The sequence below is a fragment of the Homo sapiens genome, chromosome 5 (genome assembly GCF_000001405.40).
Source record: "Homo sapiens chromosome 5, GRCh38.p14 Primary Assembly".
Taxonomy (NCBI): Eukaryota; Metazoa; Chordata; class Mammalia; order Primates; family Hominidae; genus Homo; species Homo sapiens.
This window is the reverse complement of record NC_000005.10, coordinates 39248635-39262694: the sequence shown is the minus strand read 5'-3', so window position 1 is coordinate 39262694 and position 14060 is coordinate 39248635. Positions and strand designations below refer to the sequence as shown.

Here is a 14060-nt window from a genome sequence, read left to right as displayed (position 1 = left end):
GTATTCTCCAACATTTGATTTGTTGCCATTATTTTCAATTTCAAACAGTGGTAGATGAACATCCTTTGGCATAGAGGGTATGAGAACCTTCAAGTTTATCTAACATTAGCAACTTGTTCTTTAAGGTCATTGTAATGATTTACCTCCCATCAGCCTTCTACAAAAGTTGCCATTTCTCTACATCATCCCTAAAACTTGACATTGTCATATTTATTGATAGAGTTTTGACAATTTGTTACACGTAAAACTGTACTTCATTATTGTTTTAGTTTTAATTTTTCTGATTATAACTGAGATGAAACATGTTTTCACAAGTTTATTAGCCATTCCAATAAACTCTTCTGTAAATTATCTCTCATGTGTTTCATCCATTTTTTATAGATTTTTTTTTCGTGTTGATTTAGAGGAATTTCTTATATATTCTAGGCATTAATCCTGTGTCAATTACAAGCATTGCAAATTTTGCTCTCCCAGTCTATGGCTTCTTTTTAACTTTACTTTTGGTGTCTCTTTTTTATACAGAAGTTTTAAATCTTAATGTTGTCAAATTTTAAAATAAGTCTTTATCATTTCTGCTTTTGATGTCCTTTTAAGAAATTAATCCCTACCCCTTAAATATTAAAGTCATTTTTCTAATTTTTCCTTGAAGTGTTCTTGTTTTTAAGACTCCATTTTCATGTTTAGGTCTTTAATCATAAGGATACCATTTATATTTGTGATGCAAGGCAGGCATCTAATATTAGCTGATATGGATAACCACTGGTTGCAGTATTATTTACGTTAGCTTGTTCTTTTCCCCCATCACTTTCTAATGCCTCCTCTGCCACATATTCATTTCCCATCTTTGTGGGACTCTGCTTCTGGGCTTCCAACTCTGTTACACTGATCAATATAGTTCATAAAATTCCATGTTCATCATTATTTCTTTTCTTTTCTTTTCTTTTTTTTGAGACAGAGTCTCGCCTTGTTGCCCAGGCTGGAGGGCAGTAGCACGATCTCTGCTCACTGCAATCTCCGCCTCCTGGGTTCAAGTGGCTCTCCTACCTCAGCCTCCCTAGTAGCTGGGATTACAGGCACGCACCACCACACTTGGCTAATCTTTGTCCTTTTAGTAGAAATGGGGTTTCACCACGTTAGCCAGGTTGGTCTTGAACTCCTGACCTCAAGTGATCCACCTGCCTTGGCCTCCCAAAGTGCTGGGAGTACAGGCGTGAGCCACTGCACCCAGCCTCATTGTTTCTTAATTATGCTCTTTTGCTCTGGATTCATATATCTTCTTGCACGGGTACACATAACTCTTGCCTGCTGTCTAACAATTTCTTTGTGTGTGTGTGTGTGTGTGTGTGTGTGTGTGTGTCTTAATCTACACACGTTCTTTTTTTTTTTTTTAATTCTACTTTAAGTTCGGAGATACATGTGCAGAACGTGCAGGTTTGTCACATAGGTACATGTGTGCCATGGTGGTTTGCTGCACCTATTGACCCATCCTCTATGTTCCCTCCCCTCGCTCCCCATCCCCCAACAGGCCCTGGTGTGTGTTGTTCCCCTCCCTGTGTCCATATGTTCTCATTGTTCAACTCCCACTCATGTGTGAGAACATGCAGTGTTTGGTTTTCTGTTCCTGTGATTGCTGTCTAACAATCTCTAAGATTATTCAATATTTCTACTATTATTACACAAACACAACCAGGATCTTAATACAGGGTAATTGCCCATTTAATACAATCCTTCAACCCTATTTCTGGTTCTTAAAACTTCTGCTTGGAGGAAATGAACATCACTGTCATTTACACTTAATTGGCCAAAGTAAGTCATATGGACATATCTCAGTTAAACAGGGCAGAATTTATGAGGATGTATAATCCCCACGCATTCAGGGTCATGTCAAAGAACATCAACAATTTGGAAGAATAGGAATATTATACACTACGATGTATACAGTATAGGTCTTCAAATGACTGAGAACTTCATTTTGACATCACTCTTAAATGATAGTTGAGCTGACTATAAATATTCTAAATATATAGTTACTTTTCCTCACCACTTTACAGACTTACTTGATTGGCTTCTCACTTCCTTTGTTGCCAGTGGAAGTGTGCTTTCAAATCTAATTGTCATTCCTTGTATTTAAAATTGTCACCTCCTTTAAAATCTTTATGTTCTGAGCTTTTACTATGCTTCACAGAGACGTGAATTTATTTTTACTTATCCTGCTTGGTACTCCTAGTATCAATTTAAAACAGGAGGCTAAGAATATTTTATCTAAAGAGACCAGTAGTCAATGTTTTAGGCTTTGCAGGCCCTCTCACATCTGTCACAGCTATTGAACTCTACTGTTGTAACAAGAAAGTAGCCATAGACAATGCATAATAAATGGGTGTGGCTGTGCTCCAATAAAACTTTATTTATAAAAATGGATGTCAGTCTGGATTTACCCAACAAGCTATAGTTGCCAATCTCTGATCTAAAGCCTAATGACTTTCTTCAATTCTTTAGAATTCTCAGCCATTATCTTTTCAAAGCCATTACTCTATCATTTCCTCCTTCCTATGCTTTTTGTCTAAAGCTCCTATTAAAGCTAGTCTCTGATCACCTATCCTCCATGATTTTAATTGCTCTTCCAAACTTTTTATCTCTGTGTCTCTCTTTGATGAATCTTAAATCCATTTATCAGCTTCATCTTTCCATTCACAACTTTTTTTCGTATGTGTTGAGTCACCAACTGTCCTAGTGTGTCCAGCACTCTCCCAGTTTTAGCACTAACATCCCATGTCCTAGAAACCTTTCAATTCCAGACAGACCAGGAAAGTTGCTCACCCTATCTAGAGTGTCCAATGCAGATTTTATCCTATTTCTTGAGTTTTTGTTTTAATGATAAAGTTTGTATTTCCAATTTTTGGAATTGTTTCTCTTATCCCCCACGTTCCTGCCTAATATGTGCATGTTTTTGTTTTAAATATTCTTATATTCTGTTTTGGATAGTATTCTATTATTTCTTAATGAATCCTAAATTCTTAAAGTCCTTTTCAGATTATTCTATTGTTTTAATTTAATTGATATAACTGTATATTTCATGGATGATTTTGTTGAGTTCACTTTGTCATTAATAGTTTTCTTCCTGTGTTATGGAATTTCATGTTGTAGACAAATTTCAAGGAGGCTTTGTTGATCGGTTGGTTAGTTTTCTTTCTACCTGCCTTCACTCCACATTCTCTCATGCTGTACTTACCTGTACCACTTCTTCCTGAGGCCTCCAGCCCAGAGCCAGATCTACATGAACATCTGGATGATTCAGGCCCACAGTAATTCTGGACATTTCGCATACTCGTTACTAAATCAACCAGCCTACTGGCCTAGCTCCTGGTGCTGTGCTGTACTTAGTCCAGGGTTTCTTGTTCTGGAACTGGGTTTCCTGCAGTTTTGTGCATTGGAGAATGATTATCAGCATCTCTGGTCTCTACCAGCTAGATACAGTTGGACTTCAGCACTTTTGTGCATTGTTAGATGTTTAGTAGCATCTCTGGTCTCTACCAACTAGACAGCAGTAGCACCTCCACACCCTCCCATGTGACAACTCAAAGCATTTTCAGATGTGATAGAATGGCCCATGGTGGTGTGAGGGGGCAAAATCCCCAACCCCCCAGTTGAGAATCACTGGTTTATACCAACACAATCTCAGCAACATACGATTTAGTCCCCTTTCATGTTGCTGAGGAGGGAAAAGCATGTCTCTTACTGCCCTTGGTTTCACAGAGTGACCCTACACTATAAAAGCTAGATTAACAAACCCTTCCATACCCTGAACCAACAGCCGCCTATTCAGTCTTCCAGTCTCACTCATTGCCTTGTGCCTCTGTTCTCTTTCCAAAACAGAAAGATTTATCTTCTTTTTAAGTGTTGCTATCTTTACATTTTTTTTCATTTTATATTTAATCTATCACTGACATGTGCTAAGTCAGTGAGAGAGCCAAAAGCTTTCATTTACTAACCAGAAGTTGATTGCTCTCCTCCATCTCTTTTCCTGCATTTCCCTTTAGCTCCATATCTTCTGGGTTTTTGTTGTTGTTGTTCTTATTGTTGTTTTGTTTTGTTTTTGACACAGGGTCTTGCTCTGTCACCCAGGCTGGAATGCAGTGGCACGATCTCAGCTCACTGCAACCTCTGCCTCCTGGGTTCAAGTGATTCTCCTGCCTCAGCCTCCCAGGTAGCTGGAATCACAGACATGCACCACCACACCCACATAATTTTTGTATTTTTATTAGAGATGGGGTTTCACCATGTTGGCCAGGCTGGTCTCAAACTCCTGACCTCAGGTGATCTGCCTACCTCAGCCTTCCAAAGTGCTGAGATTACAGGTGTGAGCCACCACGCCCGGCTAGCTTCATATCTTTCGTTTCTCTTTTCCCCCTTCATCCCTGATTAATGGTATTGAGTAAATCAACAAAGGAGAGGAAATGTTTCAGCATCAGGGTAGATGAGACACTAGGAGAATTAATCAAGTTACTTCCAGGTCTCCATTACCACACTTCACCCCTACTCCAACCTATTAAGACGGTGGTTCTCAAAGTGTGCTCCCAAACCAGCACATCAATATCACCTGGGAACTTAATAGAACTTCTTGGGCCGCACCCAATACCTGCTAAATAAGAAAGGAGGTGGGGCCCAGCCACCTGTGTATTAACAAAGCCTTCCCAGTGATTCTGATGCACGCTCAAGTTTGAGATCTCCCAAACCCAGACACAGCTAAAGACGCTTTGGATCAGTGGTCCTCAACCTGGCTGCCCATTTTAACTGCCTGTTGAATTTTAAAGTATGCAGCTGTTTGAGTGCCAAGCCCAGAGATTTTGATTTGGCTGGCCTGGTGGCTCAGGTACTTTTTTTTTTTTTTAGTCTCCAAATGATTGAAACATCCAGTCAAAGTCTGCTTTAGTTATTCATTTACTGTTTAGCCCATTCTGATCATCACTTATGCTGGTGTTTTGGAATTCTAAGCGAAAATTGGTAAACTTCTAGTGAACAAAGTTTAAAGTGATCTCTTCTGGAGCTTGACTCCCTTGATTTCTATTTCAGTTCTTCTCATTACAATTTACCTTCTCTGTGCCTCAATTTCTCCATATGTAAAAAGCGATAAGTCACTATACCTACTTGTTAAGTTTATTTTAAGAGTTGCATGGGTTTATGTGTGAATATCTTCAGCATAATGCCTGTCACACAGCAAAATCTACACAAAATATTTCTAAAAGATTTTGTAAGTTCTACATGCAAAAAAAAAAAAAAATTCTGCAAGACGAACCTAAGTCAAAATAAGTATCTTGGGAAGAGAGACTTTTTAAAAAGTATTTAAAGGGTATTTCTCTTTTTTTCATATTAGGACCTTTGCTTTATAAGTCCTACTTTTTCCCAAAAACTGTTATATGCTGTTTAAAAACATTGGTAAAAATTAACTTTTCTCATAAAAAATTTTAGAGTTTTACTATATGCCTTTTAAAACTAGCTAATGGAATTTTAAACCAGAGTTCAGAATATTCTATACTCAGATTTGAGCTACAGAAACTGATAAGCCAACAATAAATTCAGCCCTTATGCAAGTTCTGGCAGAAGTGAAAAGACATGGAGATGAAATTAACATCTGCTGAATCTGATCTATAACAGATATTTAGATGAAATTATTTCTGTGAAATCTAGTGAAAACAGTGAAAACACTTTCACAGATGTTTGGGAGGCTGAACTTACATGAAAATGTTTGACTTTTCAAGGTATGGACATAGTCCAAAAGAACTACCATCACTTTTACTCATTGCAACTTTGAAATAAAAGTAGTTACATTCACTTTATCACAAGAGGACATTCATCCGAGAGAAATTAATTTTATCACATGTACCCACAACTACATGAGACAGCATTTCAGGCTGGGTGGACTTTTTTCAATAGCAGAACATAGCCACCCAACACAATACAGCTGCAATAAACACTGCTCAAATTAGTCATCTAGGAGGCAGAGAAGGGGAAGACAGGGAATTTCCAAACTATGTCTTAATCATCAAGCAAACCAACAAAAAAGACTGTGAGGGTGAAATCGTCGTAGCTTCCGATTTCTAAGCAAAGTCCACCTGTAGCTACCAACCATGCCTACTGCAGATGGTTGTAAAACCTAGCCACCCTGAGCTAATTTGATAAGCAGGGCAAGGAGAGAGGTAGGGCATTCCCATAAAACAGCCAGGATAACCATGTCTTGATGGCTAATTCGGCATGAAAACCCGTACGTAATATTCTAGACTCCTTGACTCTTCAATATTCTCATTTTTCTCACTATTCTACCCTTCCACACGGTAAGTCCTTCTTTTTAATTTGTAAGCCACATACACCAAAAAAAGGTGGGGAGGGCTGCAAACACATTCCTGGGAAATGATGCTAGGTCTCCCTTTTGATCACTGTGAATACTGGTTTCTCCTTTGGGTTCATTGCAGACAGGTAGTCAATCTATAGGTGAGGAAAAAATGCCTTCTTGGGCAGGTAATTTGCACAAACTAGAAACACACCATATTTTTGCATTTGTAATATCTGTGTTACCTTTCCATTGCTAAGATCTGTATTTAACTGAATGGCTATAAATACTGCCCCCATAAATACTTGTAATTAAAGAAAGATTCTATTTAACGGAGCACTTACTATGTTAACTGTTCTAATACATTTGGACCTTTAAGTGACCTAGATCATCAGTGGAAACAAAGGAGAGATACTGATTAAAATTCAAGGCTCCTTGAAGCTAGCTGGTTGAGTGTGGAAGCCTTACCTTGACAGTAAATTCTGTTTTCTCAAGTTCTCTGAGTAGCTCTTTTCTTCTTGTTGCATCCTCCACACTGAGACTGGATTGGTCTTCATTAATAGACCCACTGGATTTATCTTCCACAAGCCTGCTTTTTATGTTACCTACTTTGTTCCTGAAAACATTGGAGTTGGTGATGCAGTTCAGATAGTTTCCCTTTGGCTTTAAAGTATACAGTTCTGGGTATGTAGAAAGAGTCAGGATAAGGTTTGGTAAAGTTTGTCCTCTGCGTAGGCAGCTGATTTTGGACATGTTTGGACTGGAAGCAGTATCTAGGTGTGGAAAATGGGGTCATATTTAAATGAATAACATCCTGCTTGGAGGTTATGGACAAGTCTTGAGTGTGCGTGTGTGGAAGGAATTTAGGGGTGGTTAAAATTTGGTATAAAAAAAGGTACTGAAGTCTGCAACTTTGAAACTCATCCAAAAAAAAAAAAACAGGTGAATGGATAAATGGAGAGATGTGATAAAGCAAGGATGCAAAATGCTAACCATTAGAGAATGTAGGTGGCAGTACGTTGGTGTTAACTTCCAACTTTAATTTCAACTTTTGCAAATGCTTAAAATTTTTTTAAAAAGCGTGGAAGGGAAAGTTTAAATGTCACATAGACTGGGCAAGTAGAGCTGGGAAATATGGAACTCCATTTTCTATATTCTTAACCCATGTGTTTATACCTCCATTTATCCACCAAATGAAATATCCACAATAAACCTTTTCCCCCAAATGTAAATAGCTCCATGATTTTCTCCTCTTGTAAAAATGAGATGCATGTGATGATAAATTGTTCCGAAAATATAAGAAAATGTAGAAAAGGTAAAAATCTTACTATCTAAAGAAAACCACTATTAACACTTCAATAAATATTTTTCTAGACATATCCCTACACAAAGTATAAGGCCTTTCCATTTCTGCCTTTTACAGCTGTGCTTTTGCTGCTTCTCCTTCACTTTCCCCTCTGCCAGATCAGGTCTGGCACTTCCTTTAATGTTTGGTTCCAACTTTCTTTTTTCATGAAAACTTCCACTTTGCACTCTCTCCAGCACTAATCCCTCTTGATTTGGTGTGTCCTGTCTTCAGCATTTCTCTTGTCAATGCCTTGAAATTCTCATCAAGCACCTTTAGTTTTCAGATGCATTTTCTTCCCAATTATTTTGCATTCCACCATATTATTTTGCATGCCTCAAGTTGCCAATATGTTTTCCACAAGGCTTGCAATTTTACAAAAACCTGTTCTGATTAAGGCAAAACCATGCTTCTAACTTAATAAGTAACTACACAGTTTAAAACAAAATCCTCCTTCTAGATAGAAATGAGGATATTCATGCCAACCAATATATGCTAATTTAGGGAAACACTGAGATTGTAATTGTAAAATAGAATTTTATTTCAGAAAATATAAGCCAGATTCAGCTCCTGCTGTTTTTGCTTAGATTTTGTCATTGTCCAAAACCACAGTAAGATATCATCTCACACCAGTCAGAATGGCTATTATTAAAAAGTCAAAAAATAACAGATGCTGGCTAGGTTGTGGAGAAAAAAGAACGCTTATACACCTTTGATGGGAGTGTAAATTACTTCAACCATCGTAGAAGACAGTATGGCGATTCCTCAAAGACCTAAAGACAGAAATACCATTCAACTCAGCAATCCCATTACTGAGTATAGAGCCAAAGGAATATAAATTGTTCTATTATAAAGATACATGCACGTGTGTGTTCTTTGCAGAACTATTCACAATAGCAAAGACATGGAATCCACCTAAATGCCCATCAGTGGTAGGCTGGATAAAGAAAACGTGGTACATATACACCATAGAACTACTACGGAGCCATAAAAAATAATGAGATCATGTCCTCATTCATGGATGGGACGTGGATGGAACTGGAGGCAATTATCCTTAGCAAATTAACACAGGAACAGAAAACCAAATACCACATGTTCTCATTTATAAGTGCAAGCTAAATGATAAGAACACATGGACTCATAGAGGGCAACAACACACACTGGGGCATATCAGAGGGTGGAGGATGGAAGGAAGAAGAGGATCAGGAAAAATATTGGGTACTAGGCTTACACCTGGGTGATGAAATAATCTGTTCAACAAACCCTTACAACACACATTTACCTATGTAACAATCCTATACATTACAACACACATTTACCTATGTAACAATCCTATGCCTTACAACACACATTTACCTATGTAACAATCCTATACCTTACAACACACATTTACCTATGTAACAATCCTATACCTTACAACACACATTTACCTGTGTAACAATCCTATACCTTACAACACACATTTACCTGTGTAACAATCCTATGCCTTACAACACACATTTACCTATGTAACAATCCTATATATGAACCCCTGAACCTAAAATATTTTTTTTAAAAAAAAGATTTTGTTGTTGTCATTTCCCAAGGATTCATGATGAGTCATAGGTTCAGTCTCTGAAGAGCAGGAGAGGTTCTGGACTCCCCAGATGGCTTTTGGCAGTGTTTATAGACATTTTTATTTCATGGGAATAAAACTAGGCTTTGGGTCTTTAAAATGTGAAAATAAGTACTCACTTATATTTGAGAGTTATCTTTAATATATCTACTTCAAGGAGTTTCCATCAGTTCACATTCTTGCATTGTAAATTTTAAACATGGTTTCCTAATTTTATGGAAGTATCTTATTTATTACCACTGCAATGTCATCTCAGTGAATCTCAAAGAATTAGCTTAATAGACTAGATAATGTGAGCAGTAAAACGTGTACTTTTCTTTAGGAATAGAAAAAATCGGATTGTTTCTGTCTACCCCTTGTAAGCATAGCATTGTCCTGAGCTATATCAAGGTTCAAATCACTTTTTAAACTTTGTATTTTAGGAAATAAGAAATATAATATGAATAACAATTGCTAACATTTTACTAAGTGCTTCCCCTATGCCAGACACAGTTGTAAGTATTTTTAAAATGTCAAATCATTGAATTCTTGCAGCAACCCTGGATGAGGTACTACTTTTACTCCATTTCATGAATCTGGAAACCAGTGGGGAGAGAAGTTAAGTGATTAGCAGCCAGAAAGATCCAATCCTAGACTGTCTGGCCCTAGAACCTATGTCTAAACTATTCCACTCTCCTAGTTCTCTAGGGTAAAAAGAAAGGCACCAACCCAGTCTAGCGGTAGAATACAAAGAGAACTTGCTGTTTCATAAACTTAGTATGAGTTTGCATGTCTCTCTCTGTATGTGTGTTACTAGGTTGGTACCAGATTGTTAGTTAACTGTGCTAATGATACTGTGAGCCCTTCTCTTAAGACATATGCTTTGACCTTTTTAAAAAGAATTGGGAAGAATTTATACCAATTGATTTCTCCTTCCTTGCATAACAGATTGTTTGTGTGTTTGTGTGTGTGATCAAAAATATATTAAAGAAAATTTTAAAAAATTCCACAGCCATAGCTATTTCCCTTATATTATGTGACCATTCAGTCTTTATCTACAAGTATATGCATTTTGCATAATTATCATATTATTTTTTCACTTAAGTTTAATTCATAAACATTAGCTCACATTCTTACACACTCTTCATAATCCTTTTAATTATTGCAACACATGCCCTGTTTTTGTTATCTTTAGAATTATTACACATTATGACTCTGTTTTGAGCCATCTATATTTTATTTTATTTCTTTATTTTTTTATTTTTTATTTATTTATTTACTTTTTTGAGACGGAGTCTCGCTCTGTCGCTCAGGCTGGAGTCCAGTGGCGCGATCTTGGCTCACTGCAAGCTCCGCCTCCCGTGTTCACGCCATTCTCCTGCCTCAGCCACCTGAGTAGCTGGGACTACAGGCGCCCGCCACCACTCCAGGCTAAATTTTTTTATATTTTAGTAGAGATGGGGTTTCACCGTGTTAGCCAGGATGGTCTTGATCTCCTGACCTCGTGATCCACCCGCCTCGGCCTCCCAAAGTGCTGGGATTACAGGTGTGAGCCGCTGCACCCGGCCCTATATTTTATTTTTGTACCTTTATCATACCTTTTAAATTACTACTTTACATTATATTACCCAATAGAACTAGTGTCCCTCATTCCTTCCCTCATTGCTTCTATTTTCACAACATTTACTGATGTCCTTATCCATGTATAAATAAGTAAACTTTATAATAATTTTACTTAGTTCTTAAATCCTAGCTCTGATTCTAATTGTATTTTTCTGTTTCAAAAAAAAAGGATTAGTATACAGGGTCTAGCTTTCTTTCTTAGCATTCCTATGTATAGGGTGCACCTTACTTTTCACACTTTGCTCTTTAGAGATTTTTTCCAACTACTCAAGTAGCCCTACCTATTCTCAGGATGGCTTTAAGGTCAAGGCAGGATCTGGCCAGGGAGTAGAGAGCAGCCCATATGGAGCATCAGCCAATCCCACAGTAAATACAGTTCCAGTTCAAATGATTCCCCTCTAACTGAGTGAGCTAAGTGGTCTCTGGCAATGAAGGGCTACTTATTATATTTTTGTTGTTACCATTGTTGTAATTCAATTTAATTTTCCCCTAGTGTGGTCTATAGGGTATTTATATTAACTTATAAAGTGTTGGGCTATGTATCATTCTCATAATTTCATGGTCTAAATTAATTCCTTCAGGATTAAACACTACTTCTTATTATCTCAAGAAACACTGTTGCAGATCACAGGCCTCTATTTTCCGTTTTTCCAGGTTCTAAAATTTAAAACTTTAAACAACAAATCACTCAAGGTTTGAGTGAGATACATTCACCCACAAGACATGTAAAATATTCTCCTAATATAATCATCCTCAAAGGTTGCTATAAATCATCATTTGAAATCCTTTCATCTTTTGACCATTAAATTGCCAAATAAAACACTCAAAAATGACATGATTCCATCTTAAAGATGTTAATATTTGGTTTCTTTATTAAGGTGACTTCAGGGTAAAACATTTGTATGTATGAAGAATGGTTATTGCATAAAATCTCAGCTTAAGACGTCATCCATTTTTGTTTTTCCTTATCCTGAAATCAGAATATCATATCATTTTGAAAGTTTTTCTAGCCACTTCCCAGCACTCGCAGCATGAAGCTCACACCAGAAGTTTCCAGAGATCACCCCAGAGGTGATAAGATCTCGCCCGCCCTTCCGTCCCAGGATAGTGTGATTGCGGGACCATGGAATTTACAAGGTGAGATTCAAAGGACCCTAATTGTCTCTCTGCTTTCAAGTAATCCTGCCATTTAACACCAAAAGAAGAAAAAGAACCAAGAACATGAAAAGTCCTACTATCGCTCCACTTAATACTACTCAAAAAAGGAGGTTCCAGACACTTTGATGGTGATATTTTTGTTTTATTTTGTTTGACAAAATCTATTCTGGATAATGTTCCCAAAATGCTTCCTAATCATCAAACCTAGTGGAATCTTGTTAAACATGTTGATGGCATTTGATAGTCTTTCCTCGATTTCTGCAATACAATTCTTCCCTGATTCTCCTCCCTCTGTCTCTAACAAGTCCTTTTCAGTATCCTTTGAATCACACTTTGTATTTTGGTAACACACAAGGCACCATCTTTGCCCCTCTCTCACTCTGCCTGCCCTCCCTCAGCATTCTCTGCTTCTCTCAAGACTTTAGCTCCTGTATTAGTCCATTCTCACACTGCCATAAAGAACTGCCGAGACTGGCTAGTTTATAAAGAGAAGAGGTTTAATTGACTCACAGTTCCACATGGCTGGAGAGGCCTCAGGAAATTTACAATCATGGTAAAAGGGGAAGCAGGCATGTCTTACATGGCAGCAGGGGAGAGAAAGAGAGAGAGAGTGCAAAGGGAGAAGAGCCCCTTATAAAACCATCAGATCTCATGAGAACTCATTCATTATCATGAAAACAGCATGGGGGAAACCACCCCCATGATCCAATCATCTCCCACCAGGTCCTTTCCTCAACACATGGGGGTTATAGGGATTACAATTTGAGATGAGATTTGGGTGGGGACACAGAGCTAAACCATATTAGCTACTAACTCTTTGCTGATGGCTCACATGATGAAGTCACCATCTTTCACCAGATCTGTTCCTCCTCTTGTATTCTGTAACTTGCTGAGTGCATCCCTCACCTTCTGAGTCATTTTATATTTCTCCATTTCCACCAGTGCACTGACACCAAACTTACAAACACATACACATCATTTTCTCTCCAACTATGTTCAATAGGCTTTTTTCAGAATTTAGGCTCTTGTCCTCTTTGACTCACTATTATAGTTTTGCATCTCTCACCCCTTAAGTCCATCCCTCTCTGCTACTAGAATGGTCTTTCTAATTATGTAAATTTCTGGCTCCAACCCTCCATATAGCTCCTAAAGGCCAAGTGCAGGGGTCAGCAAACTATGGCTGTGAACAAATCCAGCCCATTGTCAGTTTTTACAAAGAATGTGTTATTGGAACATAGCCATGTTCACACATTAACATACTGTATATGGCTGCCCTCATACTACAAGAGCAGAGCTGCGTCATTTCAGCAAAGACCATGTGGTCTCAAGAGCCAAAAATATTTACTATCAGGCCCCTTACAGAAAATGTTTGCTGACATCTGGCCTAGTGGATAAAGTCAGAACTTCATGATATCACATGTAAGGCTGGCATTCTTTGGCCACAACCTCTATCCCCAGGTTTGGCTCTTGCTATAGCCCCCTTAAACCTTACACTCCAGCAGTGCTTGGCTGCTTACTGTTCCCTACACTGGCCAAGAGAAATTTCAGTGATGAAGGAGAAGTCATGTGTGTCTGCACTGCCCAGTGCCATAACCACTGGCCACATTTCACTGTTGAGCATTTAAATTGTGGCTAGTGCAACTGAGGAATTAAATTGTTTATTTTATTTAATTTTAATTAACAAAAATTTAAACTTAAATAGCTACATGTGGCTAATGGCTACCACATTGGACAGTGTTGTGCTAGACTGTCACCAATGGTATCTTTGTCCATTCTAAGGGGAATATTTAAGATATTTAGGCTACCCTACCTGGAGACAGAGTCTCACTTCATCATCCAGGCTGGAGTTCAGTGGCATGATCTCGGCTCGCTGCAAAAACCACCTCCCTGGTTCAAGCGATTCTCCTGTCTCAGACTCCTGAGTAGCTGGGATTAGAGGGGTGCACCATCATGCCCAGCTAATTTTTGTATTTTTAGTAGAGACGGGGTTTCGCCATGTTGGCCAGGCTGGTCTC

General features: G+C 38.1%; 1 protein-coding gene across 10 annotated transcripts in view, besides 1 other annotated feature; it reads left to right on the top strand.

The window, feature by feature from the left end:
• Positions 1–14060, top strand: part of FYB1 (FYN binding protein 1) — a 169277-nt gene that overhangs the window by 11834 nt on the left and 143383 nt on the right. For 2 of the 10 annotated variants that reach the window (XM_047417072.1, XM_011514010.2), the window contains exon 2: positions 11889–12024. The exons of 7 other annotated variants lie outside the window; for them this stretch is intronic. The gene's annotated coding sequence lies outside the window, so the exon portion shown is untranslated. The remainder of the gene's footprint in view (positions 1–11888; positions 12025–14060) is intronic. One more of the 10 variants, XM_047417073.1, reaches the window with a different exon arrangement.
• Positions 5936–6145: an enhancer, noted in NCBI's record as "active region_22498". NCBI's record gives its function as "activates an Ori minimal core promoter by ATAC-STARR-seq in GM12878 lymphoblastoid cells {active_cell/tissue: GM12878}" and the evidence as "EXISTENCE:reporter gene assay evidence [ECO:0000049][PMID:35858748]".